General features: G+C 39.3%; 1 protein-coding gene across 10 annotated transcripts in view, besides 1 other annotated feature; it reads left to right on the plus strand.

Annotated features, from left to right (window-relative positions):
- The window catches only part of TMEM117 (transmembrane protein 117), a 603307-nt gene that overhangs the window by 226997 nt on the left and 353072 nt on the right, over positions 1 to 23238 (plus strand). Inside the window, exon 2 of one of the 10 annotated variants that reach the window (XM_047429664.1) lies at positions 6038 to 6143. The exons of the other annotated variants lie outside the window; for them this stretch is intronic. The gene's annotated coding sequence lies outside the window, so the exon portion shown is untranslated. The remainder of the gene's footprint in view (positions 1 to 6037; positions 6144 to 23238) is intronic. 10 annotated transcript variants of the gene reach the window in all.
- Positions 6189 to 7388: an enhancer, noted in NCBI's record as "MED14-independent group 3 enhancer chr12:44422790-44423989 (GRCh37/hg19 assembly coordinates)". NCBI's record gives its function as "activates an origin of replication core promoter dependent on BRD2, BRD4, P300/CBP and CDK7 cofactors, and independent of MED14, by STARR-seq in HCT116 cells {active_cell/tissue: HCT116}" and the evidence as "EXISTENCE:reporter gene assay evidence [ECO:0000049][PMID:35650434]".

The raw sequence follows: 23238 nt of genomic DNA on the forward strand, positions 1-23238 counted from the left end.
CTTCACACATATTATACTTAAACCAAAAAAATACTACCCAAGTACAGAGATGAATTTAAAAGGAAAACAAGGAGGTTTCATTTTAATTTAATTTCCAGACAGTGGATTACATCAATGAGGTCTGGCGTCTAATCAAAAACTGCAAATAAAGGAAGCAGATCAATTATCAGACTCCAGTTCAGTGGCTTCAACATGATGCCGAGTGCTTTTATTCATGTTACACAGATGAACCCAGCCCTCTTAACAGAAAAAAGCAAAGACTGCCCTTGCATGAAAACAAGGTGACTTAGTTCCCTAAAATCCAGTGGGAATGATGATTTCCAGTTTCATCCATGTCCCTACAGAAGACATGAACTCTTCATTTTTTATGGCTGCATAGTATTCCATGGTGTATATGTGCCACATTTTCTTAATCCAGTCTATCGTTGTTGGACATTTGGGTTGGTTCCAAGTCTTTGCTATTGTGAATAGTGCCGCAATAAACATACGTGTGCATTTGTCTTTATTGCAGCGTGATTTATAATCCTCTGGGTATATACCCAGTAATGGGATGGCTGGGTCAAATGGTATTTCTAGTTCTAGATCCCTGAGGAATCCCCACACTGACTTCCACAATGGTTGAACTAGTTTACAGTCCCACCAACAGTGTAAAAGTGTTCCTATTTCTCCACATCCTCTCCAGCACCTGTTGTTTCCTGACTTTTTAATGATCACCATTCTAACTGGTGTGAGATGGTATCTCATTGTGGTTTTGATTCGCATTTCTCTGATGGCCAGTGATGATGAGCATTTTTTCATGTGTCTGTTGGCTGCATAAATGTCTTCTTTTGAGAAGTGTCTGTTCATATCCTTTGCCCACTTTTTGATGGGGTTGTTTGTTTTTTTCTTGTAAATTTGTTTGAGTTCATTGTAGATTCTGGATATTAGCCCTTTGTCAGATGAGTAGGTTGCAAAAATTTTACAATGAGAACACATGGACACAGGAAGGGGAACATCACACTCCGGGGACTGTTGTGGGGTGGGGGGAGGGGGGAGGGATAGCATTAGGAGATATACCTAATGCTAAATGACGAGTTAATGGGTACAGCACACCAACATGGCACATGTATACATATGTAACAAATCTGCACATTGTGCACATGTTCCCTAAAACTTAAAGTATAAAAAAAAAATCCAGTAGGAAAACCCATGGATTTAACTATTATTATTTTCCATGTCACTGATTAACTGACATCTGCTCGTTCCACATGAAGACAGGAAGCCCTTTTCAGAAGACTAACATGGTAACGTGAGATCAGAAAAGACAATGAACTGTAGACATTTGCTCCTTGTGAGCCTAAGCGTAATATTGCTAAGTGCAGCACTAAGGAGATGTGTATAGTTTGTCTTGTGCACTGCATTAGGGTGTGACGGCAAAGAAAATGTAGCTAAAATGAAGACAAGTCAGTTGATATATCTACTTAGATTATATGCTGAGCAGCAGAAATGCCTTTGATGGATAATGAAGTCATAAAAGTAAGGTGACCTCAACAATGTGTAGGATAAAAATATGAGTGCTGTATGGGCAGATATGAAAGGGAGCAGTCCTCACCGTTACAGTACTTATTTCTGTGATGAGTGGTACAGAGAGCATGGATTGAGTGCATGTACTGATGAGAACAAGTTAAGAAACAAGAGCAGGGGGATTATTTAGTATCTCATAAACTTTTGGGGAAGAAAGCAGGGTATATAACTAAATGAAAGAAAAGAAAGGAAGAATGGAAGGAAGGCAGGAAGGGAGAAAGGAAAGTAGCAAGGAAGGTGGGGTGGGAGGAAGAGAGAAGGCAGGAAGGGAGGGAGGGAGGGAGAGAGAGTAGGAAAACAGCAAATGGAAACAAAGTGGAAGGATTGTGGTGATTGAAAGTCAAATTTACCCAAACGTTTCATATTAGATTTTCTTAACATAAGGAAAAATTATTTTAACGATTAGTCAGTGTAGGTATAAAAATATTATGCCTTTGAATGTATATATACACACATATATGTGTATATATGTATATCTACATATATATTTGTGTTTGTATATATGTGTGTGCACACACATATATGTACATACATATAAGTACATATACATACAGAGAGAGAGAGAGCGCCTTCATCTATTCCTAAGTGTAGGAAGGTTGGAGTGCTTGAATCAGGAACTAGATTTCATGTTACAACCAAAAGGTGACTAAGTTGCTCCACCACATACATAATAGGACTCACTGTATAGTAACTGAGTGATTGACCTTAGGCAAGTAACTTGACTTTGCTAGGCTTTAGTCTGCTCCTGTATAGAATGCAGATTATAATGCTCAAATGGTTGTTTTGAGGAGTCAATGAAGCAATGCCTGTAAAATGTTGATGTGAATTAAAGACTCCATCTTGTATAATAATAATAATTGTAACACAATGAAACAGATGTCAAGTTGAACAGATACGGTTCAGGGGCACCTAATCACCATACGCAGCGGGTGTGCAGCTGATTGGATTCATCCTGACTTTTATTTAAGAAGGAATTAGATAAACTCCAGATTTGCTTAAATTAATAATTATTCATAATAGGCTTCTCCTTCTGCTAATGTGGAAATAGAGTTTAAACTTCTGTGGAATTTTAGGAAAATAAACTCTATAGGTTAATGAAAGATATGGAGGAATAGGTAAGTGTTAAATTAACCCTATTTAAAGATAGAAAAACAAGAATGTAGAGATCTATTCCTCTTTTTTCACGATTGTATTGATTGGTGTTGAAAGGACTTTTTATAAGTTTAGGAACATGTAGTAATGAAATGCTGGGACAATTTGTGAATTCAGCTGTTGTATTTTCGAAAAAAAATGTTGCTGGCAGCCTGTTGGAACATCTCATTTTTTATTCTACTAAATGAGTATTAAAGAGTCTTCTTTCCTTAAGAAAAGGAACATTTCTAGAGAAAATTTCTGAAGTTTAAATATGATAACAGATGGTATTTCAAGTCTTCTGTCAATTACATATGTGATAGAACTCCAAATTTAGATTCATTACACAGCTACAATTCTTGACGAAGAATTTATGAATTTCTGGTATAATCAAAGAATTACCTATCCGCCCCCCCCACCCATAGAGGTATGTGTATATCCTTTTGGAGGAAATTTTAGGTGGGCCAGGTCACCGTTCTTCTCATTCAAAGATGACTGTAGTTGTCAGCACAAATAATCTTTGTGCTGTGGACCAATAATCTTTTCTACCCTCTGCACTGGAAACCATACTGACTGGTTTGTGGCTATAGCAGGTGACCCTGTTATATGAATTATCACATCTTGGTCTTGTGATTATTCTCATTCTTTCACTCAAATGAGAAATTTCATTTCAAAGACTTGGCTTGCTCCTTGCTGTGGTTGTTTTTTAACCATCTGCAGTGGTATTATCTTGTTGGAACCATGTTCATATGTCCAAAATAATTCCATAGGCTGTTCTGATTTTATACTCCTGCTGCTCTGGTACCCTGCTGCCACATTTTTTTCTGTCTTTCCTTGTAAATTTAGACTGTGATTAAAAACCTGGGGACCCACTTCAAGACCTTTGCACATGCTGGCCCAGATGCCTCTGTTGCTTTTCCCTGGGTTTCCACGTGCCTCCAAAGAGACGGGTTTTCACATGTCACCTTCTCACTGAGACAGTCCCTGACCTTCTCATCAGTGGTTCCCATTAAAACCTTCCCAGTCCCATTATTTCTTAATTAAACACTGTAGGTTTTTTTGTAGCATTTATTATGATTTATAATTATTTATTACATATTTACTTGTTTCTTTATCTTTCTGTTATACTTATGAGAGTAGGACTGGAACACTTTTATTTTCCCAGATCTCTTAATTGGCAAGTATGTGTTTAATCATTTTGTTAATCTTTAATTTGAACTCATTTAGAACTTACAGAAAAGTTGTAAATGATAGTACAAAAACTTTCAAATATTCATATTTAGCAATTATCACCATGTTTTAAAATCATATTTGCACTATTATTTTCTGTTTGTATATATCCTTAAATAGTTGTGTTTTCTAAGAACAAGAACATTCTTGTTTGTAAACACAAGACAATTATCAAGACATTTAACATGGATGTGGTATTAATAATCTATATTATTATGTAGATTTTGATAGACATTTCGATAACTCTTTCATTAATGATTGTTCTATCAACTGTTTTACCAGCCCAAGATGCAATATGAGTTGCATTTAGTAGTTAGCTCATTTCTTTGGTCTCTTTAAACCTCAAACCATTTCTTAGCCTATTTTATTTTATTTTATTTTATTTTATTTTATCTTATTATTTTATTTTATATTTTATTTTATTTTATTTTATTTTATTTTATTTTATTTTATTTTATTTTATTTTATTTTATTTTAATTAGAGATGGAGTCTCTCTCCGCTGCCCAGGCTGGAGTGCAGTGGCACAATCTTGGCTCATTGCAACCTCCACCTCCTGGGCTCAAGTGATACCTCCCAAGTAGCTGGGATTACAAGCATTCACCACCATACCCAGCTAATGTTTGTATTTTTAGTAGAGATGGGGTTTCACCATGTTGGCCAGGCTGGTCTTGAACTCCTGACCTCAAGTTATCTGCCCGTGTTGGCCTCCCAAAATGCTGGGATTACAGGCATGAGCCATCGCATCTGGCCTTCTTAGCCTTTATAACCTAGACATTTTAAAAGAGGATAGAATAGGTCAGTAATATAGTAGAATGTTCCTCCATTTGCAGTTATCTGATGTTGCTACATGATTGGATTCCATGCTGCATTTTTATGAGGAATACTACATGAGAGGTGTTTCCTTCTTACTGCATTACATGAAGAGGCACATGATGTCAGATGGTCACGTTTAAATCATATTTCTTAACAGTGACTAAATGGATGGTAGAGGTTTATATTCTAGGACTTTAGAACTATCGTTTGATTGTTAGGATACCTTACAAGTAGTATTAAATAAATTGTTTAACTATAGAGAGGAGACATGAGTGTGAGTTCAGGCCTTTGGACCCCTCGTGTTAGTCTAGAGTTAGCTGTTACACACTCTTAAGTTTTCTGTATTTGAAACATATGCTTATTATTTACTGTCAAAAAGCTGTTTGAGGCCGGGTGCGGTGGCTCACGCCTGTAATCCCAGCACTTAGGGAGGCCGAGGTGAGCGGATCACGAGGTCAGGAGATAGAGACCATGGTGAAACCCCGTCTCTACTAAAAATACAAAAAATTAGCTGGGCATGGTGATGGGCACCTGTAGTCCCAGCTACTCGGGAGGCTGAGGCAGAAGAATGGTGTGAATCTGGGAGGTGGAGTGTGCAGTGAGCCGAGATCGCACCACTGCACTCCAGCCTGGGTGACAGAGCGAGACTCCGTCTCAAAAACAAAAAGCTGTTTGACTGAGTGTAGATTTTTTTTTAAAGGCATTAAAACCCTTCCATCATTCCAGTATCTGGAACAAAGGCATGGGGTGAATGAATGAATGAATGAGCAAATCAGTGTTTAAGCTTAACGTTATTTTGTCAGAGGCATGTGAACCAGAGCAATTCCATCTTGAATAGGAGCTGGGTAAAATAAGGCTGACACCTACTGGGCTGCATTCCCAGATGGTTAAGGCATTCTAAGTCACACGATGAGATCAAAGGTCAGCACAAAATACAGGTCATAAAGACTTTGCTAATAAAACAGTTTGCAGTAAAGAAGCTGGCCAAAACCCACCAAAACCAAGATGGCCACTAGAGTGGCCTCGGTCGTCCTCACTGCTACACTCTCACCAGTGCCATGACAGTTTACAAATGCCATGGCAGCGTCAGGAAGTTACCCTATATGGTCTAAAAAGAGGAAGCATGAATGATCCGCACCTTGATTAGCATATCATCAAGAAATAACCATAAAAATGGGCAACCAGCAGCCCTTGGGACTGCTTTGCCTACGGAGTAGTCATTCTTTTATTCCTCTGCCTTCTTCATAAACTTGCCTTCACTTCGCACTGTGGACTCACCCTGAATTCTTTCTTGCACAGGATCCAAGAATGGAGTCTGGATTGGAACTCCTTTCTTGTAACATCTTTCTGGTGACCATGGAAGGTACTATAATGCGGAAACCCCTGACCCAAATGCTAACTTTGGGTAAGTGGTGGGGTCCAGTAACTTCTTTCTGGAGAACCCTGAAGGGATGATACTGAGAGACCTCTCACCCAAAGGAAATAGACAGCACTGATTGGATGACTTTGGGTATATGCATACCCAGGAAAAGAATGGAATTAGGTTAGAGGCTTAACTCAGGGGAGTTAGAGTGTCTCCTAAGAGAGGGTTAAAGGCTTCTCTCAATAAAAGGCAAGGATGCTTGACTGACCTTGTGTTAGAGGCCTGATTTAGGAGGGTTGGAGTTCCTTCTAAGATTTAGGGGGTTAGAGACCCCTCTTAGTAAAGTCCCTCTTGGTAGAGTCCTTCTCGTTTAAGTCCTTCTCGGCTAAGAATAGGTTTGGCACTATGGGATGTTAACTGCTATTCTCTTTGGAATAATCTGCTTAGCACTCTTTGCTTATGACTATGGTAAGCCTAATCCTTAGGCATGTACAGGCATGTACAGGATTAGGCATGTTCAGGATCATGGGACATGGGGAACTTTTTCCTCCCTAAATGGGGAAACTTGAGAGCTATTAGGACTGCTGGAAAAGAGTCCTTCACTACTGACAAGTGGCTGCCCGAACTTTTCAGTGTTGGCTGCAATGGGGGGTCTTTCTTTGGCCTCCCTGAGTGCCTCGCTTTCCCCACTCTGCCACAGGCAATGCTCCTCTCTCTCTCTCTTTCTGCAAACTGGTTGAAAGAATGGTAAAAATCATTGTTTATTAAAGTTTTGATTAATGGGAAAAAGGATTTGTGAGGCTAATCTTAAGCTATTGTGAATTTGGTGTGTGTGTCTTTCTGTGTTCTATAGTGGAGAGGGGTACCTTAGGATAGAACACAGGCTTAGGACACCTGTAAGCCCACTTTTCAAGATAGCCCAGCAAACTGGTCAGTTAAAAACTTTGCTGCAGTTCCCTGAAAAAACTGGATGAGGTTTCCTTCTTGTCTTGTATGTCCTTGGGAGCTTGACCTTGTAACCATGTGGCCATGCTTTCTCTTTTCACAATGGCGGCCTGCATTTAGGGTTCAATTCCTGGTTTAGAGATGAGTCCTTTATCTTCTGTCAGTATGTATATGTATATATGTTGTGTGTGTGATATAAAAGAGCTTTGATTAATTGGCTTAAAAATAAGAGCTTAAATCAAATATTTTGTTAGAAAAGTAAAAAGAGTAATGCTTTTTAGTTCATGTGACTTAAGTAATCTTTAGGAAATAAAGACAGTTTTAAAGATTATTGGTAAAATAAAAATATCTTCAAAAATGTAAACATTTGGTCTAAGTTATGCAGTTTCGATATTAGGTTTGCTAAATGCTTTAAGGTCATAAACTGCTTCTTTGACTTTTGAAAATTGTTCAATTTACCTACCTTGGAGCATTAAATTCTAGATAAAGCCTGGGGACATGTGGAGTTAGCCACGCTGTCTAGCTATGCTGGATTCAGCCCTTATCTGCACTTCTGCCTGGTGTGTCCTAGGATAGGCTCCACACCTAGTACATAATTAAAATCGCTTACTAACCAGGATTTTCACCAAAAGTAAAAGTCACTAAGAGTTAACAGTGTAATGTGTATTTGAGACTCCTAAAGAAACAGTTTTACATGCAAAGTGTGTAAGAAAAGTGAAATGTGTTTTTGGAAATGACTATGGAAAGGCATGGGAATGTGGATTTTTCTTGCCTAAATTAAAGGGTTAAAGGATTGTTTTAACCTATATATGCCTAGTGTTCCATTATTGGAACGCTGAGCTTGTGGCAGTTATTTATATCCTACTGCTCAAGGTCAACACCAAGGTCTGATTTTCCCCCCAAAATTTGTAACCTTCAGCATAAATGAGTTAAGTTAAATAGGATAAAGCTGAAGGTTTAAGCAAGTTATAGAAGGTTTGTGAGAAGTTAATTATAAAAGAAATTCTGTGTGTGAATATATTGGCTAAAGTTAAAGTGCCATTATTCAGTTTTTCTGTTATTGAATTTTGCAATAAAAGCACAACAGGTTTTTCTTAAAGCAAAAACCTGCTTATAATCTGCTCTTTAACAAAACTTATAAAGGGTTATAAAAGGTTTATGAGAATCTTACCTTAGGGTCAAACGAATTAAGATTAAATTTGTCTATAAGGTTTTATTAAGAATTGGGTTTGACATCAATAATGCACTAATGCAACAGTGACATTTGGCTTATTTGGTATAAAAATCATGCAGGTAGCATTGTCAAATGTAAAATAGTGTTTGCTTTCTTTGGGCTGTATTTGTATAAATGTACTATTGATATGTGTTGAAAATTATAGGAAACTCCTATAATTCTGATATAACTTAGTGTATATTAATAATAATAATTGTTACATAAAATCATTGTGTGCCACAGAGGTAACCAAAATTTGTCAATTGTGTTTTTGACTGGGGCTGTCCTAGAATGTTTTGCCATCCACAGACAACTGTGTTGTCTTGTTTTGGTCCTCTTTACAAGATGGTTTATAGTCAGGTATAGGACTTCGACAGGTGCATTTAAATGCAGGTTTCTGATAACTTTGGAAATTGTGACATTAGAATAAAGGAAACAACTTTCAGGACTCTCATTGATAGCTGAAATGTTCATGAATATCAAACAGGAGTTAAATACATAAACTAAACTAAAGAAATCTGAAGTAATCTTTTTACCTTTTTGCTTAAAATGCTGCTGATACTTTGTTCTGTTTTTCAGAGTTGAGAAAACTTTTCTTTTGAGCTATTTACAGCTTGTAGCAATTGAGTAAAGTATACTCAAGAACAAAATTTGGAGCATATTTGTTTCTCTCTACCTGATTTGTCCATAATTTAGAAACTATTTGTGAGTATCCTTAATTTATGGCAATGTAGTTATTTGCGTAAGTGCAATAAGAATCTGATTCCTTTTATAACAGGACACAATAGGAAAAACTGGTTATTTTACCAAGGCTTTGGCTGGAATGGCATGCTTTCCTTTAAGGAATCAAATTTGACTTGTAGAGCCAATAAAAGCCCTTTGGGGAAATGTCTCATACCTTGTCTCCACAGTTCCTGTACAGGGTTTCTGACTTGTGGTAAGTAAAGAATGCCACTTTCTAACAAGTCCAGGAGCCCAAAGTTATCCTGGGACCTCATAAGGAGAGGAATTTACTCAACTCATAGGTATTTGATGGTACAAACCCATGGCTGTGCTCAGCTTTAAAAAAGTCTTAATTGAGATTGCTTCTATGGAACAGAGTTCCATCAAAGCCAATTTAAAAAGAGCTTATGTGAAAAATAATTATTCTTGCTACACTTCATACAAATAAAATGGCCAAGTGTAATAAAGCAAATCAATCTTACCGTGATTTGTCTTTAGTAAAGATGGAAAATTGGAGATAGAAATATTATGTTTTAAGAACTGTGGTACACATTATTAAATTCTAGTCTCATCAGTTGATTTTAAGTTTGTTTCTTCAATTTAGGCTAATGTTACTTATTCCTGTGAACCATCCAGTAATCTCTGACAGCAGCTCAAAAGAAACAAGAGAGATGGGTAATGTAAAAATCTGGATCAGTATTCTAATCGTGGCCACATATTGGAATCATGTAGCAACCCCATATCAGCTTGGTTCCAACAGTTGTCCAATTCATGGAAAGCCTTCTAATTTAGTTTATTTGAGATAATTTTACTTATTTCACTTTACTGTTGTGGAATATTTTGCTGTTGTATTCTTGGTGTAGGAATGAAGGACAAGCTTATTAAATGTTTTTGTAAACACTTACTAATCTTTCATACAGCACCTTTTGTCAAAACTCAGAGTTATGAATGACCCTCACCATACTGATGCTTTCTGACTGAGCTCCTCTCTACCTTGAATACAAGAGACCCTAATAGTGAGGTAGGAATATCATTGCCCCTATTCAGCCTGAAGAAGTTACAGAAGATGGATCTTCATCCCTCTGCAACCCGTAGGATTAAGGGTTCTCTTATAAAAGGGTGGGGAGGAATGTCAGAGGTGTGTGAACTGGAACAACTCCATCTTGAATAAGGGCAGGTTAAAATGAGGCTGGGACCTACCGGGCTGCATTCTCAAATGGTTATGGCATTCTAAGTCACAGGATGAGATAGAAGGTTGGCACAAAATACAGGCCATAAAGACCTTGCTGATAAAATGAGTTGCAGTAAAGAAACCAGCCAAAACCCACCAAAACCAAGATGGTGACGAGAGTGACCCTCTGGTTGTCCTCACTGCTACACACTTACCAGTGCCAAGACAGTTTACAGATGCCTTGGCAACATCAGGAAATTACCCTGTATGGTCTGAAAAGGGGAAACATGAATAATCCACCCCTTGATTAGAATATCATCAAGAAATAACCATAAAAATGAGCAACTAGCAGCCCTCTGGGCTGCTCTGTCTATCGAGTAGCCATTCTTTTATTCCTTTACTCTCTTAATAAACTTTCTTTCACTTTATGGACTCACTCTGAATTCTTTCTTGCATGAGATCCAAGAACCCTCTGTGGGAGCCTGGATCAGGTGGGACCCCTTTCCTATAACGATTTTATAATAATGTGCCAGTTTTGAAAACCGATCCTTTATTTCCATAATATGTCCTTGATAGAGTCATAATATGTCCTAGCTGGAAAGCCAACAAGCTCAGCTAACAGATGAAATAAGAGGTCCAGGATTATGGAGTGATTTGCCAAAGGTCACACACATGATGTGATTTGGATCTAAACATTTCCTCAATGATGGTCATCAGGCTTTTGGATAATCATCTTAATCCCTTCAGTAGAAAAAATCTTCTAAGTGTAGAAGCACATTTTGACATCATCTTCAAAGTTTTTTCTCTTCAAGGAGGACTGAGTAGAATCTAATAAAAATGCTTTTAATATAATGTGCCTTGATTGGAGATGGATAGTGGACTAGACAGTATTCTGCCACTGGACGTTACTCATCCTGCCTTCAGCTTAAAGGTGCTGGTGATCTTTTCAGAGCAGAATCAAAGACCATTAATGAAGTTTGATGTTTTCTTCAGTTCAGTGGAGGTGGAGTTGTAGTGACTGTTTCTTGTGATTGTTGTCTACCTAGTCAATGGCAAAGATCATGTATATCATTCTTGTGGTATCCATTTACTCTTGATACTGTTAATTTTGTAGAGCATTTTATACATTTCTAAGTCCCTCAACAAAAGCAGGATGAGAAAAACATGGAGATGGAAAACAATTTCTTTCTTAGGCAACAGGTTAAAATTCCTTTAATTACACTGTGATAGATTTTACATCTGAAAAAACCCTCCTGCTACATACATAGAGAAATGCTAGGTTAGCTACAACAAACATCCTTTTATATTAGTAGCCAAGAAAGTAAAGGAAATTCACAGAGGCTAAACTATGAAAAAAGAGAGATGTAAACAGGGCAGTGAGGGGCTCTATCCTCGGGTTCTTATGGCCTCGTAGGGAAATCAGTAACATTTATCTTTGCGTGGTATAGCATTGGTATTAGATATAAATAATTGATATTAACAGTATAAATAATAGTTGTTAAATTAGTCCAAATAGATTAAAATATATGTGTGATGTTTAATGCAATTAAGTCCGTGGTGATTACTCCTAAAGTCATGTTAGAATTCTGCAAATGCAGAATTTACAATTTTTGGTAGCTATTTTTAGATTGCAGTCTTGAATTCAGAGTGGGCTCACAAGCTGTCCACTCAATAAATCAAACTCAAATGAAATTAAAATTTGAGAAAATGAAAATTCAAAATGAATGATTCTTTTACATTTTGAAAACCCTGTATTCTGTAGGAAGGTAATGCTATTATGAAGTACCTTTTAACATTGTGACAGTTTTATGAGTCAGCTTGAATGGCCATAGGATGCCCAGATTAATTATCAGTTCTGGGTGTGTCTGTAAGGATGTTTTTAGATGAGATTAGCACTTGAATCAGTGGACTCAGTAAAGTAGATTGCCCTCTCCAGTGTGAGCAGGCACCAGTCAATCTTTTGAGGTCCTGAATAGAACAAAATGGAGAGAAAGGAGGAATTTGCCCCTGTTGCTTCTCGCCTTAAGCTGGAACATCTCATCTCATCTCATCTTCTCTGGTCCTCAAACTGGAATTTCCACTATCAGCTCCCATGGTTGTCAGGCTTTCAGACCTGGACTGAATTACAGTGCTGGCTTTCTGAGTCTCGCGCTTGCAGATGGCAGATTGTGGGACTTCTCAGGCTTCATAATTGTGTGAGCCAATTCCACTATAATAAATCTCCGTGTGTGTATCTTCTACTGGCTCTGTTTCTATTGAGTTCTCTGATTAGTACAGTAAGGATGCAAATGAAACAACCTTGTAGACATTTTGAGAAATCTGGATGGTCTCGTTTTTCTCACCTGTGAAACAAAGGAATTGAGTAGATGACTGCTTATGTATTCTGTGATTATATCTTTATTCATTCATTTATTTAATATTTATTGAGTGTTACTGTATGCGCAATGCTGGACATTTGAAGATGAATAAAATACATTTCCTTTGCTCAAAAAACGTATGTTCTAGTGAGAGAAACAATAGTAAGCAAGTAATTAACCCAATACGTTATTTAACTGGATGTATATGTAGAATTGACTGACTGAATAAACTTGAAGCAGGAGACCAGCCAGGAGATGACTACATTAGCCTAGGGTAACACTGAACGTTGAATCTTTCTATTCATTGCTGTTTACCTTAATCTAGGTTGTTAACTTGAGTGTACTCTTTTCTTAAAGTCTATAATCTTTATTAATGTATTGAATCTGGCTTGGATTTTAGATGACTTTTACCTGCTGACAGTGCTGAAGTGTTGAGGTCTTGCAATTAGCTAAATAGGTTATGCTTGATAACAAATTGATGTGAGGTTACACCAGGGAGAGAATGGGACCATGAATTTTCTGTCATTTGATTCAAGATGAAAATGATGGGAATCACACCTGAAGAGAAAGGAAGGCAACTGCAGGACTGCTGAGGGCCCCTGAGTTTTCTTAGTATCTTTTATCAAATGAAAGATATGGCAGGTGTTTTATGACATGATAGAAGGACATATCTCATTCTTTCCCACTAAGTGTTTTCTAGCTCTTTGTTCTCTGATATTTAGCTCTGTGCTTTTCTACACAGTTTTGGGGCACTAATAATATAAAGTAGAAAAGTAGAAAGTTTCTAGATCACAGAGATCATTACAGATCTCAGTGGTTGTCATCTCACATTGCATTAAAAATAAATCTCTTCCACTGAAGTTGCTATATACATTATCCTTTTTAACAATGATATATGCATTTTGAAATATGTAAAGTAAATATAGAAAGAAGTATATAAAATATTTGTAAGTTTAAAGAATAATAGTGAAAGGAACAGTTTTCTACCTACCACTCAGCTTAAGCAACTAATGTCCTGAAGCCTTCTATGGACATCTCTCTGATCTTCTCCCACTCCCCTACTGCCTCCTTCCAGTGGAAACTTGTATAATTAATTATGTGTTTGTAATTATTTGCCTTTTTTATCAGGTATAAATGCATTCAATTAATATGTTATTTTTCATTTGTGGAACTTGATATCATACTCATACACTGCCAAGACTTGCTTTTTTCACTCAACTTTATTTTTCTGAGATATAGCAATGTTGCTGTTTATCACTAAGGTATTTGCTTTTATTACCGTATTCTGTTGAAGGAAAATAACATAAAAAATCTTTTTTTGTTCTTAGTGGAAAGTCTTGTTGTTTGTAGTTTTCTTGCCATTTCAAATATTGTTGCTAAGAACATTCTTGTAACATGTCCAAATTTACAGATAACAAATATACCTAGGAGTCAAATTCTAAGGTTATATGTTATGTGTATCTTCAACTTTGTTACATAATGCCAAATGATTATCCAGGTTGGTTGTACCAATTTATACTCTTATCAGCTGCAGGTCTGTTCTTATTATGTAACAGACTATAATTTTTACCCATTTATGTAATATGTTATCTCTTCATGGTTTTAATTTTAATTTCCCTGATTACAAATGAGGTTGAAATATCTTTTCATATTTATTGATCTTTCATATTGATGGCAGCAGCGGCCCACCTGGAGTGACCGCTGCAAACACACTGGCTACAGTGGGGGAGGTGTGGCCAGGGCTGCAGCTCCATGGAGCTGGTGGGAGCTGGAAACAGGTGGAAGCCCCGCTCCCTTCCAAGTGGGCAGGTTAGGAGCCTTGCACTTCCCAGGTGAAGCTGCAGCCACCCAAGCCGTGGCTGCAGACTCAGAAATCCCTGTGCTCTTGGGGGCTGGAAGCAGGCAGGAGCCGTGCTGTCCTGGAAAACAGCTATAGCCATCCAGCCACAGCTGCAGGCGAGGCATCTTTGTGTTCTTGACGGCCTGGGAAGCCCCCCTTCCCTGCAGCTTGGAAGTGCCTGCTCCTGCTGCCTGGCCTCTCCCCACTCCTGATGCTCACTCCCATTTCAAGCAAACTTGAGGCTGAGCCTGGGTGCTGTCACAACCCAGCCATTTGGGATAATGCTAACATGCTAGACTCCTGCCGCCTCGGCCCCTCCAGACGCTGGGCACTGACAACCTCCTGTCATTGCCCAGGCTCCAGATAGGCTCCTAGGCAGAAAGGGGTGGGTCCCCTGTGAAGCCCCATCTTCAAACCAGGGAGGGCCTGAAGCCTGGGGGCCTGGCTGACGGACAAGAATGGGAACATATGATGCTTTTTCTGGGCCCACCCATGGCCACCCATGAACCAATTAGTACGCACTTCCTCTTCTTTGAAGCCTGTGAAAACTCTGAACTCAGCCAGACTCAAGTAGATGACTGAGATGACTGGATGACCTGCCTGTGGAGAGGAGTGACCCACTCCAGGGTCTCTTCTCTGCTGAGATTTGGGCAGACGTCAGGACTACCAGCTGCAGAGAGGAGCTACCCACTACAGGGTCTCCTCTCTGCTGAGAGAGGAGCACTCCAGGGTCTCCTCTGCTGAGAGTTGGGCAGATATTGGGAGTACCAGCTGCAGAGAGGAGCTACCCCCTGGGGGTCTCCTCTCCACTGAGAGCTCAATACTTGTCGGGATGCCCTGCCTGCAGATGGGAGCTACCCACTGAGGGTCTCCTCTTAGCTGTTCTGTCACTCACTAAAGCCCTTCTTTATCTTGCTCACCTTCCACTTGTCTGCATACCTCATTTTTCCTGGACACAGGACAAGAACTCAGGACCTGCCAAATGGTGGGTGGGGCTAAAAGAGCAATAACACAAACAGGGCTGAAGCATGCCCCTTGCTTGCCTTGTTGCAGGTGACAAGAAGGAGAGAAGAGAGAAGGAGAGAAAAGCTGTGGCCCCTTGGGGAGCCTATACCTAGGAGCTCACCAAGCCAGGGCTGTGACACCCTCTCTGGGGCTCTGCAGTTCCTGGCATCTTCAAGCTTCTGGGTGCCATTGTGTTCCCCAGTGCCAGCCGTGGAAGCTGCTTGTGGTACACCTGGTCCAGTCACAGCCTCACAGGGAGCCAGCACCCTTCTCAGAACCCAGAGCTAAGCACCCCACCACAGCCAGTGTGCATGGCTGTGCGCAGTGACTGCACCCCATACTCAATTGCTCACACACCCCTCACCACTCGTGCCTGGCTTGCCCTTGACAGGCATGAGAGTCAGACCAGTAGTGTGAGCTGAGCACAGTCTGCCAGTCTGAGTGGGTGGAATGAGCCCAGCAGGCTCGAGTAAAAACTTGGGCAAAGGTGCCCCTGGCCACAGAGGTTTCCAGCTGGCGAATCAACACCTGACGGATCCTGTGACAATATTCCTCCTGTGTAGAAAACATATTTATATCTGGTGGCCATTTTCTTTTCTACTGAATCCTTTTTTTCTTATTAACACTTTAGGAGTTGTTTAAATGCTTTGAATATTAATCTTTTTTTCAGTATGTGTTGTGAATGTTTTCTGCAAATTGTGGCCATTTCAAACACATGTAAAAGTAGATAGAATAGTGGTACCCACTGCTCAGCTACAACAGTATCCATTTCATCAATTCATGGTTACTCTTATTTCATCAAACAGGTACTCACAATTCACCACCTCCCTGCCAAGCAAATGCCAGACATCATATAATTTTACTGTGGCTTGTTTTTCATTTCTTCAGTGTTTCTTTTGATAAACAAAAGTTTGTAATTTTAATGCAGTTGAATTCCTAAGTTTCTTTCCTCTATGGATTGTGTGTTTCTTATTTAAGAAATTCTTCTGCAAAAGATTGTGGAGATATTTCCTAAGTTTTTGTCTAACTGTTTTAAAGCTTTACCTAGACACTAGTTATAATAGCCTTTCCCCATTCTTTCACAGATTTCTTATGCTATCTCTGGCATATCAATTTTACAAATCTGTGAGATCTGTTTCTGGGCTCTGTACTCCTGCTAATACCATATTTTATTAATCACTATACCCTTATAGTAAATTAATACTATATATTATTGTATCTATAGTATTCTTATATATTATTGTATATATAACTATATTAATAATTATTAGGGCAGGAGTTCCCAACTTTGCTCTTCAGAAACTTTGACAATTCTTGGGCTTTTGTTCTTTCATGTAAATTTTGGAATTAGATGATGAAGTTCTACCAAAAACTTTTGAGATTTTGACTGGCAATCCATGTATAGATAAATTTGTGATAAAGTTACAGATTTTATGAAATGCAAAAGTATAACACATTCACAGATTAAAATTCCCCAAATTTGAAATATTTTGGGGTTTTAATCTGTGAATGCGTTATACTTTTCAATTTATTTAGCTTTATTCCTCTTTTTATTTAGGTTTTTAATTGGCTTTTTCCTTCTCAATGAAATCTTTACCATCCAGACTATTTAAAAAGAAACGCCACCCTCTTCTAGAATATTTGTATTTTACTACCATAGTTCTTAACCTTATATTACATGTTGCTTCTCCTTGATATAAATGATAACAAAGAGTTTTATCTGCCTGATTATTTCCTGGAATAGACCCTGGTATATAGTAGGTGCTCAATAAATTAATTTTAAATAATTTTTTTCCATAAAGGTCTTTTAAATCTTGTGATAGATTTGTTCTTTGGTTTGGTGATGTGCCAGTAAATGTTTAACAATAGGTTACCTGGGGAGTGGGAGAAGCAGAACAACTTGTAGATTTGCTGATTTCCATGCTGTAAATTCTCCTACCATGGCCAATATCAAGTTATTGACATGACATCACGGAATGGGGGAGTTGAGAAGAGATGTGGAGTAGTGTGCCATTATATAGTATTCCCACTAAACAGAAACAATAGATGCCAGTAACCTCAACAATGTAAATAATTGCAAAATGTAATAATAATTATTAGTAATTATAAGTTTATATAATTTAATTTTAAATTATGATCATATTTAACAACTGGCTCACAAAATTCTTAAAAATTTAACAGCGACTTCTTGCGAGCTGTACAAACTGGATCCAGAATTCCACTGTTTAGTTTCTTTATGTTTTTGTGCGACTGTTATAAATATATTTCCTTATATAAGCTTTCTAACAATTTCTTCTTGATTTATAGGAATGCAGCTAACTTTTATATTTGTTCTTACATCTGGCAAACAGGCTAAAATTTCTTCATAATTTGAATAATTTATATGTACATCTTTCCAGGTTTCTTTGTGGACTGTTCTATCATCTGAAAAATGACAGTTTTGTTTCTTCACTTCCAATCCTTATACACTTTATATCTTATTCCTGTATTATTGCATTGACATGAACTTCCAGTATAATGTTTAATGTTAGTGGTAATGAAAAGCATCCTTGTATTGCTTCTGATTTTAAATGAGTGCTTTAAGATTTTATGTTTCTTTTTGATATTGTCCTTGTTGGACAAAATAAGTTTTCTTTTATTTATAGTTAGATAAAAATTTGTTTTTATTATTCATGAGTGGGTGTCAGATTTCATAGCATGATTATTCTCTATTCATTGAGATGGTCATATACTATATAACGAAGATGTTCAACATACCAAGAATAGTTTGTGGCTTGCTTAATAACATAGTGTCAAAATGCAAAAAGCAATGATTGACAGAAGTAAATGGCAATGAAAAAATAAGCACATGGAAAAAAGAAATACATGTGAACAACATGACTAGCTACTTGATCTACTGCAAAAGTACAGAACACTCCAGTGAATGCAAAAATACATAGTATTCTTTTTTTAAATTATACTGTAAGTTTTAGGGTACATGTGCACAACATGCAGGTTTGTTACATATGTATACATGTGCCATGTTGGTGTGCTGCACCCATTAACTCGTCATTTAGCATTAGGTATATCTCCTAATGCTATCCCTCCCCCCTCCCCCCACCCCACAACAGGCCCCAGTGTGTGATGTTCCCCTTCCTTTGTCCATGTGTTCTCAGTATTCTTGAGCTACATTAATTATTTACAAAAATTAACCATTTAGCAGATCAGCTATAAAGCAATTTTCATCAAATTTCAAAGAATCTGTATCATGCATGCAATGTTCTCTGACCACAATTAAGCTGCTTGCACTACCTCTCAGTAATGTTTTCATATATGTTTTTCCTTTCCTTCCAACTTTTATTTTAGGCTTAGGAGGTACATATGCAGGTTTGTTACATGGATAAACCGCATCTGGGGTTTGGTATACACATTATTTCATTACCCAGATTGTCAGCATAGTACCCAATAGACTTCCAATCCTCAGCCTCCTGTGCCAGCATCATTCTGATACCAAAACCTGACAGAGACACAGTGAAAAAAGAAAACTTCAGACCAATATCCCTGATGAACATAGATACAAAATTCCTCAAAAAATATTAGCAAATCGAGTCCAGGAGCACAGCAAAAAGCCAATCCACCATGATCAAGTAGGGTTTATTCCTGGGATGTAAGGTTGGTTAATACAAATCAATAAATGTGATCTGTCCCATAAACAGAACTAAAAACAAAAAACCACACGATCATCTCAGTAGTCACAGAAAAGGCTTTCAAAAGCTGGAAGCATTTTCCTTGAGAACCAGAGCAAGACAGGGATACTCACTCTCATTACTCCAATTCAGCAGTTCTGGTAGTCCTAGCCAGAGCAGTCAGGCAAGAGAGAGAAATAAAAAAGTCATCCACATTGAAAGGGATTAAGTCAAACTTCTCTCTTACAGGTGATATGATTCTATACCTAGAAAACCCCATAATCTCTGCCCAAAGGCTCATAGATCTGATGTACAACTTCAGCAAAGTTTCAAGATACAAGATCAGTGTTTTAATATTCATATTTCATTTCATAAATTCCCTTTTCAGCTATGTGTAATCTGCCTTTTATCCTATTCATTTTTTTCATGTTTGATAATTACAGTTTTCAGTGTCTGAAGTTGTATTATGTTTTTGGTTTTTTTTTTTAATCTGCTGGGATTTACTTATTTATTTAAAAAAACTTAAAATCTTAATTTTTTTTTCAAATATTATTAAGCATAGTTATTGTGATGGTTAACACTGAGTGTCAACTTGACTGGATTGAAGGATACAAAGTATTGATCCTGGGTGTGTCTGTGTGGGTGTTGCCAAAAGAGATTAACATTTGAGTCAGTGGGCTGGGGAAGGCAGACCCACCCTTAATCTGGTGGGCACCATCTAATCAGCATCCAGTGAATATAAAAGAGGCAGAAAAATGTGAAAAGGAGAGACTGGCCTAGCCTCCCAGCTTACCTCTTTCTCCCATGCTGGATGCTTCCTGCCCTCCAACATCAGACTCCAGGTTCTTCAGTTTTGGGACTCGGACTGGCTCTCCTTGCTCTTCAACTTGTAGACAGCCTATTGTGGGACCTTGTGATTGTGTAAGTTAATCCTTAATAAACTACACACACACACACACACACACACACACACACACACACACACACACACTTATTAGTTCTGCCCCTCTAGGGAATCCTGAGTAATATTGATTTTGGTACCAGGAGTAGTTGTAGAGGAACAGAATATTAAGGATGGAGTTCTTTCATTGGTTTTGGGTTTCTGGAGTTGGCTTCTTAATATGATTAGACCCCAAAATGCTAAGGACTCTACTTCTAATGGTATGGAGAACACTGATTAGTCCTCAGCGTGAATTGTTTAGAGAGTTATGCAAAATAAATGCATTTGACACTCTTCTTTCACCACTTGTGAGAGGCAAGGAGTTTAGTGACTCCTTGACCGTATGTGGAGAACCAAGGAGCGTAATGAAGCTGGTGGTTGCTCCTAAGTTTAGTGGACAAAGTGATGAAAGAAAATGATGAACTCAGGGATTTTGTTTCCTGGCTTCAGAAGCAGATACTAAGCCTCAAATCTGCTAAGATTGCCCCCAGTGAGTTTTATCTTCTGTAGAGAAAGAGCTGAAATTGTGGAAAAACAGATACAAGTTCTTATCATGTGAGTGGCTGACCTGCAACGAAAGATGGATGCACAGCCTCACCAGGTGTCTACTGTTAAAGTGAGGTCATTGATTGGAAAAGAACGGGACCCTGAAACTTGGAATGGGGACATGTGGGAGGACCCTGATGAAGCTGGGGGCACTGAGTTTGTAAACGCTGATGAAACTTTTTTTGCCATAAGGAACAGCTGCCCCATCCTCCATAGTGGCAACATCCCCTCCCCGACCCATGCTGCCATCAGCCTTTCCACTTTTGAGGAGATAAACCTTGCACTGCCTGAGACAACAGTGATGGCCTCCCTGAGCCTGTTTCCAGGCAAAATAATGTTGATTCTCCTCAGAAGTCACCCCCAACACCCCTATTTGCTTCTGGACCTATAACTAGACTAAAGTCCCAGTGGGCCCCTGGAAGTGAGGTTGAGAGTGTGACCCATGAGGAGGAGCACTACACTTGAAAATAACTGTTTGAGTTCTCTAGTTTATATAAACAGAAATCTGGAGAACAGGCATGGGAATGGATATTAAGGGTTTGGAATAATGGTGGAAGGAACATAGAGTTGGATCGGGCTGAATTTATTGATTTGGGCCCGCTAAGTAGGGACTCTGCATTTAGTGTTGCAGCTCAGGGAGTTAAAAAAGGTTCTAATAGTTTACTTTGTTAGCTGAAAAGATGGCCTGCTGTGAGTGAGCTGGAAATGCCTGCCCTCCCTTGTTTTAATGTAGAGGAAGGAATCCAAAGGCTTAGGGAGATTGGGATGGTGGAGTGGATTAATCACTTTAAACGTACTCATCCCAGCTGGGAAGGTCCAGAAGATATACTGTTGACCAATGCCTTGTGAAACAGATTTGTGAGAGCAGCACCTGTGTCTTTGAAGAGCCCTGTAATTGCTCTTCTTGAGGTGTCAGTGGCAGATAGGGATGCTGTTTGGAGCCTTTGGCAGGCCCCCACAGGTGAATCACACCAGTGTCATCTAGGATTTTGGAGCAAGGCCCTGCCATTCTTCTGCAGATAACTGCTCTCCTTTTGAGAGACAGCTCTTGGCCTGTTTCTGGGCTTTGGTGGAAACTGAACGTTTGACCATGGATCATCAAGTCACCATGCAACCTGAATGAACTGGGTGCTTTCTGACCCATCCTGCCATAATGTGGAGAATGCGCAACAGCATTCCACCATCAAATGGAAGTGGTATATACGTGATAGGGCTCAAGTAGGTCCTGAAGGCACAAGTAAGTTACATGAGGAAGTGGCTCAAATGCCCATGGTCTCCACTCCTGCCACCCTGCCTTCTCTCCCTCAGCCTGCACAGATGGCTTCATGGGGAGTTCTCTATGATCAGTTGACAGAGGAAGAGAAGACTAGGGGCTGACTCATAGATGGCTTTGCATGATACACAGGCACCAACTGAAAGTGGACAGCTGCAGCACTACAGCCCCTTTCTAGGACGTCCCTGAAGGTCAACAGTGAAGGGAAATCTTCCCAGTGGGCAGAACTTTGAGCAGTGCACCTGGTTGTGCACTTTGCATGAAAGGAGAAATGGCCAGATGTGCAGTTATATACTGATTCATGGGCTGTAGCCAATGGTTTAGAACTTGGAAGAAGCATGGTCAGGGACTGGGAAGAAGCATGACTGGAAAATTGGTGACAAAGAAATTTGGGGAAGAGATATGTGGATGGAACTCTCTGAGTGGTTAGAAACTGTGAAGATATTTGCATCCCATGTGAGTACTCACCAACAGGTGACCTCAGCAGAGGAGGATTTTAATAATGAAGTGGCTAGGATGACCCATTCTGTGGACACCACTCAACCTCTTTCCCCAGTCACCCCTGTCATTGCCCAATGGGTCCATGAACAAAGTGGCCATGATGGCAGGGATGGAGGTTACACATGGGCTCAGCAACAACGACTTCCACTCACCAAGGCTGACCTGGTTACAGCCACTGCTGAGTGCCCAATTTGCCAGCAGTAGAGACCAACACTGAGCCCTTGATATGGCACCATTCTTCGGGGTGATCAGCCAGCTAGTTACCTGGTAGTAGGTTGACTATATTGGACCTCTTTCATCATGGAAAGGTTTGTCCTCGCTAGAATAGACATTTACTCCGGATATGGGTTTACCTATCCTGCATGCAATGCTCCAAGACTACCATCCGTGGACTCACGGAATGCCTTATCCACCATCATGGTATTCCACACAGCATTGCCTCTGACCAAGGTACTCACTTTACGGCTAAAGAAGTGCAGCAGTGGCCGGGCACAGTGATTCACGCTTCTAATCTCAGGACTTTGGGAGGCTTGAGGCGGTTGGATCACGAGGTCAGGAGTTCAAGACCAGCCTGGCCAACATGGTGAAACCCTGTCTCTACTAAAAATAGAAAAATTAGCCAAGCGTGGTGGCGGGCATCTGTAATCCCAGCCACTAGGGAGGCTGAGGCAGGAGAATCCCTTGAACCTGAGAGGCGGAAATTGCAGTGAGCCGAGATCGTGCCTCTGCACTCCAGCCTGGGCGACCGTGCGAGACTCAAAAAGTGCAGCAGTGAACTCATGCTAATAGAATTCACTGGTCTTACCATGTTCCCCATCATCCTAAAGCAGCTGGATTGATAGAACAGTGGAATGGCTTTTGATTGATAGAATGGTGGAATGGCCTTTGAGGTCAGAATTACAACATGAACTAGGTGACGATAATTTGCAGGGTTGGGGCAAAGTTCTCCAGAAGGCCA

The sequence above is a fragment of the Homo sapiens genome, chromosome 12 (assembly GCF_000001405.40).
Source record: "Homo sapiens chromosome 12, GRCh38.p14 Primary Assembly".
Lineage (NCBI taxonomy): Eukaryota > Metazoa > Chordata > Mammalia > Primates > Hominidae > Homo > Homo sapiens.